The 18,258-nt window shown below is 37.5% G+C and overlaps 1 protein-coding gene across 13 annotated transcripts in view, besides 1 other annotated feature; it reads right to left on the bottom strand.

Moving 5' to 3' along the window:
• Positions 1-18,258, bottom strand: part of ADAM32 (ADAM metallopeptidase domain 32) — a 177,389-nt gene that overhangs the window by 43,680 nt on the left and 115,451 nt on the right. For all 13 annotated transcript variants that reach the window (NM_001313994.1, NM_145004.7, XM_011544433.3 and 10 more), the window contains 3 exon segments: positions 7,156-7,339; positions 9,103-9,211; positions 18,000-18,198. In NM_001313994.1, coding sequence (NP_001300923.1) covers positions 7,156-7,339; positions 9,103-9,211; positions 18,000-18,198 — 492 coding nt within the window.
• Positions 13,126-14,325: an enhancer, noted in NCBI's record as "MED14-independent group 3 enhancer chr8:39084432-39085631 (GRCh37/hg19 assembly coordinates)". NCBI's record gives its function as "activates an origin of replication core promoter dependent on BRD2, BRD4, P300/CBP and CDK7 cofactors, and independent of MED14, by STARR-seq in HCT116 cells {active_cell/tissue: HCT116}" and the evidence as "EXISTENCE:reporter gene assay evidence [ECO:0000049][PMID:35650434]".

The raw sequence follows: 18,258 nt of genomic DNA, 5'->3' as shown, positions 1-18,258 counted from the left end.
CCCTGCAAAGTCACAGGTGCAGAGCTGCTCAAGGCTGTGGGAGCCCACCTCTTGCATCAGCATGACCTGGATGTGAGACATGGAGTCAAAGGAGATCATTTTGGAGCTTTAAGATTTCACTGCCCTGCTGGATTTTGGACTTGCATGGGACCTGTAGCCCCTTTGTTTTGGCCAATTTCTCCCATTTGGAATGGCTGTATTTATCAATACCTATACCCCTATTGTATCTAGGAAGTAACTAACTTGCTTCTGATTTTATAGGTGGAAGGGACTTGCCTTGTCTTGGATAAGATTTTGGATTATAGACTTTTGAGTTTATGTTGAAATGAGTTAAGACTTTGGGGGACTGTTAGGAAGGCATGATTGGTTTTGAAATGTGAGGACATGAGATTTGGGCTGAATGATATGGTTAGGCTCTGTCCCCACCCAAATCTCATCTTGAATTCCCATGTGTTGGAAGGTAATTGAACCATGAGGGCAGATCTTTCCTGTGCTGTTCTCATGACAGTGAATAAGTCTCACAAGATCTGATGGTTTTAAAAAGGGGAGTTTCCCTGCACAAGCTCTCTTCTCCTGTCTGCCTCCATGTGAGACATGCCTTTCACCTTCTGCCATGATTGTGAGGCCTCCCCAACCACATGGAATTTTAAGTTCATTAAACCTCTTTCTTTTGTAAATTGCCCAGTCTCAGGTATGTCTATGAGCAACATGAAAGCAGACTAATACAATGACAATGACCTTAGGTTGTCTATTTTTTCTCTTTCAGACTTTTCGATGTAGGCATTTAATGCTATAAACTTTCCTTTTAGCACGGCTTTTGCTGTATCTCAGAGGATTGGATGGGTTGTGTCACTATTATCATTCAGTTCAAAGAAGTTTTTAGTTTCTATTGATTTCACTGTTTACTAAAAGATCATTCAGGAGCAGACTACTTAATTTCCATGTATTTGGATGGTTTTGAGGGTTTCTTTTGGAGTTATTTCCAATTTTATTCCGCTGTGGTCTGAGAGAGTACTTGACATGATTTCAATTTTCTTAAGTTTATTGAGGCTTATTTTGTGGTCTATCATATGATCAGTCTTGGAATATGTTCCATGTGCTGATGAATAGAAATACATATTCTGCATTTTGGGGCAGAATGTTCTGTAAATACCTGTTAAGTCTATTTGTTCTAGGGTATAATTTAAGTACTGTGTTTCTTTGTTGACCTTCTGTCTTGATGACCTGTCCGGTGCTGTCACGAAGTATTGAAATCCCCACTATTATTGTGTTGCCATCTATCTCATTTCTTACGTCTATCAAGAATTGTTTTATAAATTTGGGAGCTCTAGTGTTAGGTGTATATGTATTTACAATTGTGATTTTTTTCCTATTGGACTAGTCCCTTTATCATTATATAATGCCCCTCTTTGTCTTTTTTAAGTGTTTTTGCTTTAAAATCTGTTTTGTCTAATATAAGAATAGCTACTCCTGCTCACTTTACATGTCCATTTGCATGTAATATCTTTTTCCACCCCTTTACCTTAAGTTTATGTGAATCCTTATGTGTTAGGTGAGTCTTTTAAAGACAGCAGATACCTGTTTGGTGAATTATTATACATTCTGCCATTCTGAATCTTTTAAGTGAAGAATTTAGGCCATTTATTTTCAATGTTAGTATTGAGATGTGAGGTACTATTCTATTTATCATGCTGGTTGTTTCCTGAATATCTTGATTATTTTTTCATTGTGTTGTTGTTTTTAGAGACCCTGTGAAATTTATGCTTTAAAGAGGTTCTATTTTGGTGTATTTCAAGGTTTTGTTTCAAGATTTAGAACTCTTTTTAGCAGTTTTTGTAGTGCTGGTTTGGTAGTAGCAAATTTTCTCAGCTTTTGTTAGTCTGAAAAAGACTTTATCTTTCCCTCATTTATGAAGCTTAGTTTCACTGCACACAAAATTCCTAGCTGATAATTGTTTTGTTTAAAGAGACTAAAGATAGGATCCCCATCCCTTCTAGCTCGTAGAGTTTCTGCTGAGAAATCTGCTGTTAATCTGATAGGTTTTCCTTTATACATTACCTGGTGCTTTTGCCCCCAGCTCTTAAGCTTCTTTCCTTCATCTTTACTTTAAATAACCTGATGACCATGTGCCTAGATGATGATCTTCTTGTGATAAATTTTCCAGGTATTCTTCGAGGTTCTTGTATTTGGAAGTCGAGATCTCTAGCAAGGCCAGGGAAGTTCTCCTTGATTATTCCCTCAAATAAGTTTTCCAAACTTTAGGATTTCTATTCTTCCTCAGGAATACAAATTATTCTTAGTTTGGTTATTTAACATAATCCCAAACTTCATGGAGGCTTTGTTCATTGTTTTATTTTTTATTTTTTTTGTCTGTGTCAGATTGGGTTCATTCCAAAGCCTTGTGTTAAAGCTCTTAAATTCTTCTACTTGTTCAATTCTATTGTTGAAACTTTCCAGTGTATTTTGCATTTCTCTAAGTCTTTTATTTCCATAAGTTATGATTTCTTTTATTTCTGATCTCTATTTCTCTGGAGATTTTTTGTCCATATTCTGTACTTTAAAAAATTTCTTTAGGTAGTTTTTCACCTTTCTCTGGTGCCTCCTTGAGTAGCTTAATAATCAAATTTCTGAATTCTTTTACTGACAGTTCAGAAATTTCTCCTTCGTTTGGATCCACTGCTGGTAAGCTAGTGTGATCTTTTGGGAGTGTTATAGAACCATGTTTTTGTCATATTACCAGAATTGTTTTTCTGGTTCCTTCTCATTTGGGTAGACTATGTTAGAGGAAAGATCTGGGAATCAAGTGCTGCTGTTCAGACTCTTTTGTCCCACAGGGTAATCCCTTGATGTTGTGCTCTATCCCTTCCCTTAGGGATAGGGCTTCCTGAGAGCCAGACCACAGTGATCATTACTGCTCTTCTGGGTCTAGCCACGCAGTGGAGCTACTGGACTTTCAGTTGGTACTTGGGAATGTTTGCAAAGAATCCTGTGATGTGGTCCATCTTTAGGTCTCTCAGCCATTGATACTAGCACCTGCTCTGGTGGAAGTAGCAGGGGAGTGAAGTAGATTCTGTGAGAGTCCTTGGTTATAGTCTTGTTTAGTGCACTGGTTTCCTTCAAGACTGGTTATGCTAGCAATGAAGTTGTTATGTGGACAGACTCAGGACCTCTGGTTAGCCAGAATGTTGTAGGCAGTGGAATTAGCTGTTGTTTTTTCCTTCCTTGGAGCAGGGTTGTTCTGTTATGAACTGCTGTAATGGCTTGAGTTGGCTGGCCTCCAGCCAAGAGACAGCACTTTCAAGAGAGCATCAGCTGTAGTAGTATAGGGGGAATACAAGCTTGCCCTAAGGTCACCCAGGTAAGTATTCAAGTTTTTCAGGTGATGGGTGGGCCCTAGAGCTCCCATGAGTTACTGTCATTTTTGTCTTCAGCTACCAGGGCAGGTAGAGAAAGACCATCAGATGAGGGCAGAGTTGGGCATGTCTGAGCTCAAACTCTCCTTGGGTAGGGCTTGCTATGGCCGTTGTGGTGGATTGGGGGAGGTGGTTCTCAGGTCAATGGAGTTACCTTCCAAGGGGGATCATGGCTGCCTCTGCTGCTTCATACAGGTCACCAGGGAAGTGGGGGAAAGCCGGCAGTGACAGGTCTCACCCAGCTCCTATGCAGCCAGTAAGGCCAGTGTCACTCCCACCATGCTCCCCAAGCAGCCAACACAGCCCAGTGTATATCCAGGCCTCTGGTGCACAGGGCTGAGATCTTGCTCCAGGCTACAAGCCTCCCCACTGAGAAAGCAAGCAGAGCTCTCAGGCCTTGCTTCTACCTGCCTGCCATGGCTTCTGTGCTCATATTTGCACTTCTTGTTCACCCCACCACATCTGCCCAGGAAAATTCACACTAAGTCAAAATTTTTACAAGGTTGAGCTGGAAGTCTCCTTATCCTTGTGGCCCTTCCCCAATTCCACTGGCTGTCCTCCCCAGGCACTGCTGTCAGATTAAATCAGAAATCGCTTCCCAGGGCTTCCCTGAGAACTGGGAGTGCCTACAAGGCTCTTCCCGCTGCTTCTTCTACTTTTATGGTTTGCTCGGCTCTCTAAATTCATTTCAGCTCTAGGTAAGGTTAAATTATTCTCCTGTGATCTGGATTTTCAGGTTCTCCAGTAAGGATGTGTGTCCAGAGCCAGACTTTCCCCCACTCACATATTGGGCATTTACAGTTTTATGGGTGTTTCACGAAGTTTGTAGTGGCAAGCTGCTTCTTTTGAAGGGTCTGTGAATTCTTTAAGTTTTCCTGTTATGTTCCTGCAGTGGTTCTTGCAGCAAAAGTTCATAATGTGAGTCTCCACACGCTGTCCATCCAAGTGGGAGCTGCAAGTAAGTCCTGCCTCCTATCTGCCATTTTTCTCCCTGTGTCCTCCACAAGTTTTGATAAGTTATATTTTCATTTTCACTTAGTTCAAAATATTTTAATTTTTTTCTTGAGAATTTTTCTTTGACCCATGTGTTATTTAGCCTCAAAGAGTATGGGGATTTTCCAGGTAACCATAATGTAAACTATGAATTTTGGGTGATAATGATGTGTCAATATAAGCTCATCAATTATTACAAATGTACCACGCTGATGTAGGTTATGCACAGTGGTACAGGTTTTGTGGGGGAGTAGGGGATAAAGAGTATATGAATACTTTTTTGTATTTTTCACTCAATTTTTGCTGTGAACCTAAAATGGCACTAAAATGTAAAGTATATTTTTTAAAATAATTTTTTTAATGATTCAGGGCAGAAAAGTGGAGGATATCAATAAAATAAGATTGGCTATTAAATAAATAATTATTATCAAAGAACCACTTTTCATTATAACACCATGAAATCTAACAAGACTATCCCTGAGTACACAGTTCAAAGAATATCTTGTATTAATTGCACATACAAAAGTTTTACATAGTAAAAAATTAACTCCATATAATAATGGCATATATTGTTTTCATAAAATATGAACTATCATTAGAGTCTCATAAGTATTTAATGAAGATAATAGAAATTTTTGTTAAAATGTACCAGAGTTGTCTATCATTATATTATGGAACGTATAAAAAATTCTGACATAATTCTTCTAACTTTAAAGTATAATAATCAGAGGGCTGAAGATATATTCCCAACTCCATTATTTATGGCAATCTCAATTTCCTTAAGTTGCAGTTTTTACACGAGTACAATAATACTTTTTTAAAAAATGTTATTTTAGAAAAAGCAAGTAACATTAGAGCTTGTTTTTAGTTTAAAATGAGATGACATATGTGAAAATCATTTCCTGTTAAACATTAAAGCACAGCATAACCTTCTTCAGATAAATGGCATCATAAACCTCTTCTAAATACAAACAATCTAACCCTTTTAAACTTTTAATATGTTGAGTCTTCTCGCTGGTCCTTGACCATGATGATGTGTCTAACAAGTCTTTTTGGAATATAGTATCTACTGTCTGCCTGGCTCAGTTGAAATTGAGATAGATTCCCCACTGAATAAGGACACTAACTTACAGAAACAATACTAAGAATGTTTCATCATATATAATTTATACTATCATTAAAAACTACCCAGTAAAATTTGTTTTTACACATTATTTCTGAGAAGAATTGTCTGGGTTATTAAAAAGATTATATTCTTATTAAATTACTTATCAAATCATCTCAAAGACTTTATTGGTTGTGTTGCATTTTTTAGGCTTTTTCTTTTCTGCTCCATGACCTAAATATATCCACTGAGCTCCCTGGCCCAAACCTCCATCAAGATGGCACTTATGACTCGAATGCATAAAAATAAATCAATATTAATGAGTCTATATACTTTACCTACAGTAAGCTTTATTTATACTATAAAACCACTAAAAGTGGCTATTGAAATATACATTTCATATCTAAGGATACCAAGGCTTAATAATATTAAATTATTTCTTAAAGATCATCTATCAAGTAAGTGGCAGAGTCAGAATTCAAATCTATGAACATCTATCTTTAAAGCCTACACTTTACACTTTTTATATTTCCCTATGAGCAAAGATCTGGTCAGGAATTAAATAAGATTTTATTTTAATTTCTAAATATTTATTTATTTATTTCATATATCCAAAGATTTATTATTTACAGATCCTGGGCAGGGAGAGCACATTGTACCAGGAGGGCAGTCCTCCATCCCCAGGTCACAGGACACAGGAATGAAGAGTCAGACAGAGAGGGGCGGGGGGAAGGAGAGAAAGAAGTAACAGTATACACATATATGGAAGAATAGGGTATGGATTGCTTTAGGTTTGCAGACAAACTCCTGAATGGTCCACTTAAGAAAAGCATGGGGAAAGTTGAGAGCCCAGTCCCCCAGGAAGGAGAAATGCCTTTAAGTTCTTATCTCTGGCTGGCTTGAGCTATTTGGATGTTGTGTTCTACTTCCAATGCCTAAGCAGGAACCTTTGCTGTGTTATTCCCTCTAAATGAGATGTTAAATTTATTTGCTCTATCTTCTCCAGATTTGGGTTGGTTTCAAAGATGACAAATTATAATGATAACAATCGGCAATAATAGCCAAACTGTATTTAGTTATTACTATGTTCTGGGCATTGTGCTAAGCACTTATAATATTATCTCATTTAATCTTCACAATACCCTGTAGAGTAAATGCTATTATTATCCCTACTTTATGTACAGTTGAGATATCTCAGACTAGCTAGATAACTTGCAAAATGTTAAACAATATTTGATTCTATCTAAGCAGCCTGATCTAAGTTGTGCTGTTATTCATGGGGCCACAAAGAGATTTATGTTACTAAGTGAGATTTCTTCTTTCTTCTCCCAGAAGAAAAGCAAGTTCCCATGCTATGAGGTTCTTAACTACAATATATTCCCAAGACTCTCTCCCAAGGAAAGCTCCAAATATTTGGAGTTTCCTTGCTCAGAACACTGAAATTCTAATGGGGGGTGGGAGGGGGTGGGGTGCGATGTTCCCATTTCCCTCTTACTATTTGGAGACTAATTTAAGATCATTCATTTTGCCTCCAAACATTTAAGATTACCTAATACTAGCACTAAATTAAAATTTGATACTTAAATAAAAAGATGAAAACAATAAATAAAACTATATTTTTTAAATAGATTTTAAATTATTTACCCTCCCAATATCACACTGAGAGCCATTTTTGACAGCCAGTGGATCTGGAACTGTTCGAGGCAATTTGTAGTCTACAGTTATGCATACAGAATCTCGTACGAAAGCATAAATCACATCACCATTTTCTTGATGGAAAGGCTTTCGAGTAGGGTAGGTACAAACTAATCTTCCACATATAAGATTCCTGAAAACATAAAAAATATATATGATTATTATACATTAGGAATTTATTAGGAATGCTTTGGATTTGCTTTCTGTGATGCAAAAAGAATGGTTTTCCACTTATGGCAATGTACTTACAGAAAACGTTAATGTTTTCACGGTAACAAAGTAAAAAGTAAAAAAAGTATAAATCCATTGATCCTAGCTTAACTTTCAAAGGTACTATCAGAGGCATTTGAACAAGAATGACTCTATCTTGAATAGAGGCTAGGTAAAACAAAGCTAAGACCTACTGGGCTGCATTCCCAGGAGGTTACGGCATTCTTAGTCACAGGATGAGACAGGAGATCGGCATAAGATACAGGTCATAAGCTGATAAAACAGCATTAAGATAAAGAGGCCAGTCAAATTTTACCAAAACCAAGATGGCGATGAAAGTGACCTCTGGTCATCCTCATTGCTCATTATACTCTAATTATAATGCATTAGCATGCTAAAAGATACTCCCACCAGCACCATGACAGTTTACAAATGCCACAGCAACATCAAGAAGTTACCCGATATGGTCTACAAAGGAGAAGAACCCTCAGTTCTGGGAATTGCCCACTCCTTTCCTGGAAAACTCATGAATAAGACACCTCTTGCTTGGCATATAATAAAGAAGTAACAATAAGTGTAAGCAGCTGAGCAGTCCATGCTGCTGCTTTGCCTGTTGAGCAGTCATTCTTTTATTCCTTTACTTTCTTAATAAATTTGCTTTCACTTTACTGTATGGATTTGCCTCAAATTCTCTCTTCCACAAGATCCAAGAACCCTCTCTTGGGGTCCGTATTCAGACCCCTTTCTGGTAACAATACTAGAGATCTGTTACTTACTGGGCAGATTATATATTTACTGTCAAATAATCAATTCACTACAGCATTTTATATCACCCCATAGAAGGAAAGAAAGATGAAAAAGTTGTAACCCCTACACTCTAAGGACTTTACAGTCTAATACTCTTACTATGGTTTATGATATTAATATGATTCAAATTCCATTAAAAATGTTACAAGTGAAATAAATCATTACAGAGGTTTAAGATTCTCTTAAAAGCTCTGTGAAGTTTTCCTTAACTGTGAGGTTAGAGGACACATTCTAACTTCACAGTTAAGAAAAACTTCATAGAGGAGACACCATCTGAGTCAAAGCTCACAAATTAGTAAGCTTTCAACAGAAACAGTGAAGTATTTCTAAACAAAAGTAACAGCATAAGCAAGTCAAGGAAGCATACAACTTTATGGTATGTTTATGAGTCTACAAATTCCATGAGTGTATGAGTATGATTTGCTAACTAGGATTTAGCCCAGTGTCTGGCATATAGTAGGGTCCTAAGAGATGTTTTGTAAAAATAAACTCATGATCAAAATATCAAAAACCTGGCTCTTCAGATTCAGGAGGAATTGAACTGCATTTTATAGACACTGAGCAGTCTTCCTCTTAGGCAAGTAACCAAGTGGGATGGAAAGGAAAAATGAGCGGGAAAGGTACAGTGGGTATTATGAATTTCAACTTTGGATTGGATTTAGAAACATAATGGCCATTCACGTATAAATGTTTAGAAATAAGATGAAATTTTAGCCTGCAGCACAAAAGAGGTGTCAGGGCTGGGGATTTTGATTTGAGGTTCACTCCTATGCACATGTAATACTTTAAACCACTGGAATGAATGACACAGAAGGGGGCAAAGTTTTTAAAAATCTAATAGAATATAAGAAAAGTATCATTTATATTTGTAGAGCATACCTCCATCCACAGAACACATATTTGTTATTTCTATCCCTACCACAGTTCCCAAATCTGTCTGATTGAGATTGTATTTCTTCATAGCAGGCAAATGGAGCATTTCTTGAACCTGTTAAAGTTAGAAATACATTTGGATTAAAATGTTTATTGGTTTTTCATCTTCCTCCATTTCTTCATATAATATTCCCTTTATCTCTCCATTAATATCTAATTGAAACATTTTTCCTAGTGAGGTTGTAAGGAAAGAATAAAAAGTAAAGTGAAAGGCAATGCCCACTGTTATTGCTCCTTTTGCTTCATTTTCATCAATTTCCATCATAAAAGATAATATAGGTGGAAGGGAGATGGTATAGAAGTGTCAACTAGAAGAGGGCTCTGTGAAAGAAAGCAATAGAGATATAAACCAAGAAAACTATACCATTCTTCTAGATTCTGAGTGTGAACTCATAAAAAACCAAGTCTATAACAAAATCAAGAAAATTTCTTCAATGAGAAGAAACTTCGTTGTATCTTCAGGTAGTCTAAATTTAAGGGACCAAAATTAGCAACCTATGTATTTATCTATTTTTTCCTTCATTATATTGGATTTTTTATTTCTCTGTAAAAAATTAGAAAAGATTCGGCAGCTTAAAACAACACCCATTTATTGTCATGGACTCAGTAGTTAGTTCAGCAAGGCATACAGGTTTTCTCTGCATATTTTCTCTATGCTGAGATCAAAATACTGGCTGGGGCTGCAGTGTCATCTGAGGTTTACCTTCAGAGGTCACTGGTTGTTAGTAGTTCAGTTTTTTGCAGTTGTAGCTTTACTAGCTGTCTGCTAGGGATTGCTCTTGGCTCTTAGAAGTTCCTTACAGGTCCTAGTCACATGGCACCTCAGAACACAGCAGCTTTCTTCCTCTAAACCCACAGGAGAATCTTGCTGACATTTCCTGTCTTTTAAGGGCTCACATGATTAGTTCAGGTGCACTCAGAGCGACCTCCCTTTTGATTAACTCAAAACTGACTGATTGTAGACCTTAACTACATCTTCAAAATTCCTTGACCTTTACTATATAAGCTAATCACAGGATTGATATTCAATCATATATTCACTGGTTCTACCCCAACTCAAAGGGAGGGAATTATCCAAGGTTTGTCTACACCAGAAAAATTTTGGGAGTCACTTTAGGATTCTACCTACCACAGTTACCTTCTCCAAAATGAACCTCTCTAAATCTGCTTTATTGACAAAAGTAGATAATAATATATATGTCAATGAATTGTTATGAGAATTAATATTATGGCTATTTAGTCACTCTTAATTCCCATCTAATCCCTCTCCATTCTCTTTCAAGATCAAGAAAGTTTCTCCTGTTTACCTGCACCTTCTATGATACACATTTTTTTCTTTCTGCTGTTCTTTTTTGGTTTTTTGCTTTCCCCTCATCTTATCCCTTTCCACCATCTTTGATATTGGCCCATCACAGGAGATTGTATAGATTCCATGAGGATAGGCAATGCTAGTTCAGAGTATTCACAATGTTTAACCAGTTCAATAGTGAATGTGAGATACCAGGTTAGGAATGCCAATGCAGGGCTTGTTAAACACTGAGAGATTATCCGAAGAAAGGAATTTGAAAATTCAGTTTAGTTTAGAAAGATAATGTAAAGAATATGTTTGGTCACAAAGCAGTCAGATGAATTCTGCTGAAAGTATAGTCGCCAACCAACTCAATTTTATTAGTCTACGTGTGGCATCTAAAGTTACCAATAACCCCCTCTCATTAATTTCTCCCTTAAACGCTCTCTCCCATTAGTATTAGATGATCACTTTCTCTCAGACTTGTCTTGGTTTTCAAAAGTGAAATGAAAATACTAATAAAAAGGGCAGCACTTTGCAAATGTGAAGTCATATGTTAAATATTCCCTATAATCCAGTATATTGACTAAGTTTAGTAAGCAATAGAATTTGCTCTTCCACAGTCCAAATGGTGTAATTAGATCCCCAGTACCCTATTATCGAATGCTTTGATGTGCAGTAGCCTATTATCAAATGCTTTGACGTGCATTAAAATAGTGGATGCATGTCATAGATAGGTGTGCATGGATGGCACCAGGGCAATAAATGTGGGTGTCTGAGATAAATGTGGTCTGAGAGAGTGCTTGACATAATTTCAATTTTATTAAATTTATTGAGGCTCGTTTTATGGCTTATCTTTGGGTCTATCCTGGAGTGAGTTCCATGCATTGTTAAATAGAATGTATATTCTGCAGCTGTTGGATGAAATGTTCTGTATATATCTGTTAAGTCCATTTGTTCCAAGGTATAGTTTAAATCCATTGCTTGTTGACTTTCTGTCTCGATGACTGTCTGGTGCTGTGAGTGGAGTCTTGAAGTCCCCCACTATTATTATGTTGTTGTCTATCTCATTTCTTAGATCTATTAGTAATTGTTTTATAAATTTGGGAACTCCAGTGATAGGTGCATATATGTTTAGGATTGTGATATTTTCCTCTTGGACAAGGCCTTTTACCATTATATAATGTCCCTCTTTGTCTCTTTTAAATGCTGTTGCTTTAAAGTTTGTTTTGTCTGATATAAGAATAGCTACCCCTGCTCACTTTTGGTGTCCATTTGCATGAAATGCCTTTTTCCACCCCTTTACTTTAAGTGTATATGAGTTCTTATGTGTTAGGTGAGTCTCCTAAAGGCAGCAAATAGTTGATTGATGAGTTTTTATACATTCTGCAGTTCTGTATCTTTTAAGTGGAGCATTTAGGCCATTTACATTCACTGTTAGTATTGAAATGTGAGGTACCATTGAATTCATCATCCTCTTTGTTGCCTCTGTGCTTTGGGTTTTTTGTTTTTGCTTTTTAACTTATATTTTTGTTTTATAGGTCCTGTGTGATTTATTCTTTAAAGAGTTTTTGTTTTGATATGTTTCCAGGATCTGCTTCAAGATTTAGAGCTCCTTTTAGCAGTTCTTGTAGTGGTGGCTTGGTAATGGCGAATTCTCTCAGCATTTGTGTGTCTGAAAAGACTGTATCTTTCCTTCACATATGATGCTTAGTTTCACTGGATACAAAATTCTTGGCTGATAATTGTTTTGTCTGAGGAAGCTGAAGATAGGGCCCCAGTCCCTTCTAGCTTGTAGGGTTTCTGCTGAGAAATCTGCTGATAATCTGATAGGTCTTCCTTTTTAGGTTACCTGGTACTTCTGTCTCACAGCTCTTAAGATTCTTTCCTTCATCTTAACTTTGGAAAACCTGATGACAATGTGCCTAGGCAATGATCTTTTTGTAATGAATTTCCCAGGTGTTCCTTGTGCTTCTTGTATTTGGATGTCTAGGTCTCTAGCAAGGCCAGGGAAGTTTTCCTCCATTATTCCCCCAAATATGTTTTCCAAGCTTTTAGAATTCTCTTCTTACTCAGGAGCCCCAATTATTCTTAGGCTTGATCATTTAACAAAATCCCAGACTTCTTGGAGGCTTTGTTCATATTTTCTTATTCTTTTTCCCTTGTCTTTGTTGGATTAGGTTATTTCAAAGACCATATCTTTGAGCTCTGAATTTCTTTCTTCTACTTGTTCAGTTCTATTGCTAAGACTTTCCAGAGGATTTTGCATTTCTAACAGTGTGTCCAAAATTCCCAGAATTTTTTATGTTTTTTCTTTAAGCTACCTATTTCCTTGAATAATTCTCCCTTCACTTCTTGTATCATTTTTTGGATTTCCTTGCATTCGGCTTCTCCTTTCTCCATTGCCTCCCTGATTAGCTTAATAGCTAACCTCCTGATTTCTTTTTCAGGTAAATCAAGGGTTTCTTCTTGGTTTTAATCCATTGCTCGTGAACTAGTGTGATTTTGGGGGGATGTTAAAGAGCCTTGTTTTGTCATATTACCAGGATTGGTTTTCTGGTTCCTTCTCATTTGAGTAGCCTCTGTCAGAGGGAAGGTCTAGGGCTGAAGGCTTTTGTTCAGATTCTTTTGTCCCATGGGGTGTTCCCTTGATGTAGTACTCTCCCCGTTTTCCTATGGATGTGGCTTCCTATGAGCCGAACTGCAGTGATTGTTGTCTCTCTTCTGGGTCTAGCCATCCAGCGAGTCTACCCAGCTCCAGGCTGGTACTGGTGGGTGTCTGCACAGAGTCTTCTAATGTGAACTGTCTAGGGGTCTCTCAGCCATGGATACCAGCGACTGTTCTGGTGGAGGCAGCGGAGGGCGTAATGGACTCCATGAGGGTTCTTAGCTTTGGTGGCTTAATGCCCTATTTTTGTGCTGGTTGGCCTCCTGCCAGGAGGTGGTCCTTTCCAGAGAGCATCAGCTGTGGTAGTATGGAGAGGGACCAGTGGTGGGTGGGGCCCTAGAACTCCCAAGAGCATATGCCCTTTGTCTTCAGTGACCAGAATGGGTAAGGAAGACCATCAGGTGGGGGCAGGACTAGGCATGTCTGAGCTCAGACTCTCCTTAGTCGGGTCCTGCTGTGGCTGCTGTGTGGGGTGGGGGTGAGATTCCCAGGTCACTGGAGTTGTGTACCTAGGAGGATTATGGCTGCCTCTGCTGAGTCATGCAGGTTGTCACGGAAGTGGGGGAAAGCTGGCAATCACAGGCCTCAGTCAGCTCCCATGCAAACTGAAGGGCCTGTCTCACTCCCACCGTGCCCCAATTTAACAGCCCCGAGTCTGTTTCCTTCTCCCTGTGAAGTTTTACCCCATGCTCCTCTGGCCGTCCTCCAGATAGATCCCTGTGGTGCCAGGCAGGAATGGTCTGCCTGGGGACCCAGAGAACTCCCACGGTCTTTCTCCTGCTTCATCTACCCCTGTATTTTGCCCAGCTCTCTAAATTGACTCAGCTCCAGGTAAGGTCGGAAACTTCTCCCTCAAACAGACCTTCAGTTTCTCCAGTGGGGGTGTGTGTTCAGGAGAGGAGGAAGGGAGGGTCCCCCTTTCCCACTTCCACAGTTGGGGCACTCATGGTATTTGGGGTATCTCCCAGGTCCTGCAGGAGCAGTCCACTTCCTTTAGAGGGTCTGTGGGTCCTCTCAGGATTGTTGGTTTGTTCTTGCAGTTGATTTGGAGCTAAAATTCACAATGTGAGCCACCACACCCTGTCCCTTCCGGAGCTGTAATCTAGTCCTGCCTCCCATCCGCCATGATGATCCATCTCAATTTATAAGTTTTTATGTTGCATGTTCCTTAACAAATTATTATAGTAATAATTATTTCAGTAGTTTTGTCTTTTAACCTTTATACTAGAGACACATCGCCATTTCGGTATTTGGTATTCTGAATTTGACTATATACTTACTTTTACCAGTGAACGTTATATTTTTATATATTTCCATACTACATATTAGTCTTTTTGTTTACATGGAAGAACTCCTATTGACATTTGTTGTAAGATAGATTGAGTGGCAATGAACTCCTTGAGCTTTTGTTTGTCTTAGAAAGTTTTATCTTTCCTTTATTTCCGAAGAAGAGCTTTGCCAGATAAAGTATTCTTGATTGACTTTTTTTTTTTCTTTCAGCACGATATCATTCCACTCTCCTCACTGACAAAGTATCTGCTGAGAAAATCCAACTTACATGTTGGATTATGTTACTTAATCTTTTTTTTTCTCTTGCTTCTTTCAAAATGTCATTATATTTATTGACGGTTTTATTATAATATGTCTTGGTGTAGTCTTGTTCAAATTAAACCTGACTGAAGAATTTTGAGCTTGGTATAATCTTCTTTGGATTAAACCTGACTGAAGGATTTTGAGCTTCCTGTACCTGCACACTTATATCTTTCCTAAGATTTTGGAAGTTTTCAGTTATTATTATTTTAAATAAGCTTTCTGTCCTTGTCTCTCTTCTCCTTTTTTACCTCTTATAATGAGAATGTTAGCTTTCTTGATGCTGTTTCAAAATCCCATAGTGTTTGTTTCTTCATTCCTTTTCATTCTTTTTTCTTATTTCTCCTCTAGTTGTATATATACAAGTAATCTGTTTGCAAGTTCACAGATCTTTCTTTTGCTTTGTGAATTCTGTTGTTGATATTATCTATTGCATTTTAATGTTATTCATTGTGTTCTTCAGCCCAATAATTTGATTTTTTTTTATAAAAATGTATGTTGTTTCTCTGTGTTCTTTTGAAGTTTGCTGAGTATCCTTAGAACAATTATTTTGAATCTTGTTCAGGCAATTTGAAGATCTTTATTTCTCTGGGATCAGTTATTAGAAAATTATTGTGTCATTTAATGGTGATAAGTTTCCCCAGTTTTTCATGTTTCTTATTGTATTGCATTGATACCTTCAAATTCGATGGAGCAGTCACCATTTTGAAACTTTACAGAATGCTTTCACTGATTTAAAAAAAAAAATCTTACTCCATGGGTGGGAAAAAGGCTGTTAGAAGGGTAGAGTTGGATGGTTCCAGCTTTGGTGAAGACAGAGCAGTGTACCCTCCATGCATTTCTGTCAGCTGAGGTCAACATTAACAAAGATTCCAGGGGGTCCTGAGCAGCTAAAGCTGTGGTATCTGCAGGGGCAGTGAGACTGTTGGGTTTTCAATGGTGAAAGATCCTGGGGCCCTCAATCTCTTTTTCTCCCACCAGGGAGGTCATGGCCCCGGGCAATTTCATTTGGCACAAGGTCTGGTTTGAGGGCATTCCCTCACTGATGTCTGATGCACAGTGACCATGCAGTAGCCACAGAGCCAGGGTCTGAATCACAAACACACATGAAGAGACCAAAGGGTACAGGGCAGCAGTCACACTGGTGCCTAGGGTGAAGACAGCCCTGCTTCCACATAAGTAATGATGTATGAAGTAGAGTGGGTGTTTGTGGAGCAGATGGAGAGTCAGCGTCTCAAGCACATGTGGGTGTAGAGCAACAAAAGTTCCTAGGTTCAGTGTGAAGACTCACACATAGCTGCACTGTCTCTGAGACTGACGTATGAGTGCACACAGTGCAGACAAGAGCCACAGCTCCAGGGTCAGGGGTGTGCACAGGGTTGGGAGGGGTAGTCACTCAAGTCCCAGAGCTATAAAATAGTAGCTGATTCTTGGAGGAAAGGCACATTTGGATCTCATTTTCCATGGAGCCAGAGGCAGGGATGACTGTTGGTTACCTCAGTGATAAAAGACGCCTCTGTCCTCTGCAGAGGCCACTGGAGATGACAATGGCACATGCTGAGTGGCTAATACTGATAGCTTCCTCCCTTCTTTGTTCATAACCACCTCCATATATCTCAGATATGCTGCTGTAATCAGCAATCCTTCTTTACAGTTTTTCCCATTTTTTTCTCTGCCGTGCTGCCAGAGGGTTCTTAGATGGACCTTGGAGCCTTCACAAGACTATTATCCTTCATAAATAGTTTTCTATTTTTTGTTTTTTGTGAGGGGATGAAGACCAGCATCCTAAAAATCTTTTGCACAACAAAGGAAAAAATCAACATAGTGAAAAGCCAACTTTTATAAAATAAGATAAAGTATTTGCAGATCATATATATAATAAGGAATTCATTTCCAAAATATATCAGTAACTCATAAAACTCAGTAGCAAAAAAAAAGCCCAATCAAAAATGGAGAAAAGATTGAATAAACATTTCTCCAGAGAATACATACAACTCATCAAGACATATATGAAAAGATGCTCATCACTAATCACAGAACCACAATGAGATACCACTTCACATCTGTTAGAATGATTATTGTCAAAAAGATAAAAGATAACAAATGTTGGTGAAGATGTGGAGAAAAGAAACCCTCATACACTGTCAGTGGGAATATAAGTTGGTACAGCTGCTAAGGAAAACAATATGGAACATCCTTAGAAATCAAAAGTAGAACTACCTTATGATTCACCAATCCCAACTGAGTATAGATTCAAAGGAAATGAATCAATATTGCAAAAGAGATATGTGCACCCCCATGTTTATTGCTACATTATTCATAATAACCAAGATTTGGAAACAACCAGTGTCTATTTGATTGAAAAAGTATAGCACAATCTGATGGAATGAAAGTCAGAGTTTTATTTGTGTTCTGAGTATAAGAGAAGAAAGTTCACTTTTAGCTTAGGTAAACAGATAAATGTATTAAAAATATGATATATATATGTCTGTGTTTATATAGATATATACATATACACAAACACACAAAATGCAATATTATTCAGTCAGAGTAAGGAGGAAAATCCTGCCATTTGCAGTAACACAGATGAACCTGGAGGCCATTATGCTAAGTGAAATAAGCTAGATACAGAGAGGTAAATAACGCATGATCTCACTTATATATACAATCTAAAATTGTCAAACTCAAAAATGCAGAGAGTAGAATGATGGTTGCAAGAGGCTGAGGTAAGGGGAGAAATGGCAAAATGCTAGTCAAGGGGTACAAAATTTTAGTTATGCAAAATAAATAAGTTCAAGAGATGTAATGTACAACAATGTGACTTTAGTAAACGACATTCTATTATATATTTGAAATCTGCAAAAAGGATAGATACAAAAATTCTTTTAAAGGATAAAAAAAAATGGTAACTATATGAGATGATGGACATGTTAATCAACTTAACTGTGGCAAATATTTCACAATGTATACATATATCAAAACAAAATCATACACCTAAAAACATACATACAATTTTTGTCAATTATACGTCAGCAAAGATGGAAAAAATATAAACATTAACAAGAAGAATTAGCGCGTATATGTTTGCTTATACATATAATAAAATATATATATTCCACATTTTATACTATATAAAACATTCTGCTTATATATATAATAAAATATATATAAACAATATTCCACATTTTATACTATATAAAACATTCCACATTTTATATATATGAAAATATACCCCATTATCCTGGTAATGTTAATAACAATGTTAAGGGCTATTGAGATGTAACAAAAAGATATTACCTTTTCCAAATACACTCTCACAACGTGCATCGAGATCATGGCAGTCTCCGTCATAACAAATAAACTTATTATTTTTGCATGAAAGTCCATTGATTAAAGTTATGTCAGGACCACATTCTGGTGAGGTTCCATTACAATTTTCAGCGATGTCACATTCAGGATGTGCTTTCGGCCTACATTCAACGCCTGATTGTAAAATCTAAGAGAAGTTAGAACATAAAAAATAAAGCATTACAAATAGGATTACTGTTTGTTAATA

Source organism: Homo sapiens, chromosome 8 (genome assembly GCF_000001405.40).
Source record: "Homo sapiens chromosome 8, GRCh38.p14 Primary Assembly".
In the NCBI taxonomy this organism is placed as follows: Eukaryota; Metazoa; Chordata; class Mammalia; order Primates; family Hominidae; genus Homo; species Homo sapiens.
Note: the sequence above shows the minus strand (reverse complement) of the source record. Positions and strands in the feature narration are given on the sequence as shown.